Below are 2,040 nucleotides of genomic sequence, written 5' to 3' on the forward strand. Positions count from 1 at the left end.
TCTGCTTTGTCTTCGTTTATTTCCACAAGATCCTTCACAGTGAGAAGCTGCTTCCTCCCTTGGAGCCTTTCTAACCCTGCACCCTCTGCCTGGAATGCTTCCTCCACCCTCCACGTGGTCAAACCTCTCCCTGTTTTCCAGATTTCAACTTGTGAATTGAAGACACCTTCTCTAACCACTCTGTAACCACTCCCTTCTCAGCCTCTTTTTTGGTTCCCTTACAGTGCGTGCCACAACTTGCAATCATTTCGTTTATTTTTTTGGTTTGCCTCTTTTCTACCTATCATCACCACTAGAATGAAAGCTTCATGAGGGTAGGGCTTCACTTCCGTTCAATCGGATCCTGAGGACCTAGAATAGAACCTTACAAACAGCAGGTACTGCAGAACTATGTTGAAAGATTGACAGGGTGAATAAATGATTGCATGCCTAAGGTAAATGCAGACTCAGTGGAAAAAACAATTGTGGCCAGCAACCCATTGAAAAAACCGGATTTTGAATGAGTCCACAGTGCTGCAGATTTGCTGATCTCCTTTGTGGACCGGGTGCAGGGTTGGGAGTTGGCTTCCTGTTGATCCCCTGTGATATACAACGCTCCATATCAGAGCAGTGGATGACGAACAGACATGGCCCCAGGATGCAGGGCTGAGTCTCAAAGTCTCATAAAGTCTCCAAACTGAGCATTTGGGTTACACAAGTTCTCTGGCCATCAAATGTTAGCCCTCCAGGCCTTCCCAGAATCCAGACCTCAATGTCAGCTTCATCTATCCAAACTGCTGAGAGAAGAGGTGGAATTTCACGGCTTAATAAGCCACAGGCCTTGTCCTTGAAGGACTTATCAAATCTAATCATTGGCCACAATTTCTTTGCAGCCAAGTGCATCAGTCAGGGCTCACCAGAGAAATAGAACCAACAGGATATACACTAAGAGATTTAATTTCAGGAATTGCCTCACACAATTGGGAGGGCTGGCAGGTTCAAAATATGCAGGGTAGGCCCGAATGTTGGAAGCTCAGACAGAATTTCTATGTTAGAGTCTTAGGCAGAATTCCTTCCTCTCTAGGAAGCCTCATTTTTCCTCTTCAGGCCTTCAACCAATTAGGTAAGGCCCACCCACGTTACTGAGAGCAATCTCCCTTACACAGAGTCACCTGATTGTAGATATGAACCACTTCTGCAAAATAATTTTCATAGGCCGGGTGCAGTGGTTCATGCCTGTAATCCCAGCACTTTGGGAGGCAGAGGAGGGCCGATCACCTGAGGTCAGTTGTTTGAGACCAGCCTGGCCAACATGGTGAAACCCCATCTCCACTAAAAGTACAAGAAAAAAAAATTAGCTGGGTGTGGTGGAGCATACCTGTAATCCCAGCTACTCGGGAGGCTGAGGCAGGAGAATCGCTTGAACCCAGGAGGCGGAGATTGCAGTGAGCTGAGATCGCACTACTGCACTCCAGCCTGGGCGACAAGAGTGAAACTCCATCTCAAAATAATAATAATTTTCATAGAAGGATCTAGATTAGTGTTTGCCCCAAAAGCTAGGCCCTATAGCCTAGCCAAGGAGACACATAAAATTGATCATCACATCAAGGTTTCAATGTTAAATCCCTCATTTTTTTTAAGTGAGTAAGATTATGACGTTCTCTGCTTAACACCCTCTGGGGCTGGCCATCACTCTCAGTTTAAATTTGCAGTCCCCTATCACGACTGGAAATGGCACAGCCTGATGTGACTCAGAAGGCACCTCTCTGGCCTGATCTCCTGCTGCCATACTTGTCACTATTGTACAGGGAGCACCTCAGCTGTCCCAGTCACCATCCTGCCTCAAAGCCTTGCAAGTTTCCTCCCTTTGCCTGGATGTCTTCTCTCTATGCCTATGGCTAACTCCTTCTAGAATTCAAGCCTCAGCTTAAATGTTTCCTCCCTTAAATGAGGGTTAGCTACTATGCTGCATAAAGTGACTCTCTTTAACTCTTGATCACATCACCTGCTGTCTCCTTCATCACCACATCACTATTTGTAACCACTGTTCATATAACTTGC

This window comes from Homo sapiens, chromosome 6, assembly GCF_000001405.40.
Source record: "Homo sapiens chromosome 6, GRCh38.p14 Primary Assembly".
Lineage (NCBI taxonomy): Eukaryota > Metazoa > Chordata > Mammalia > Primates > Hominidae > Homo > Homo sapiens.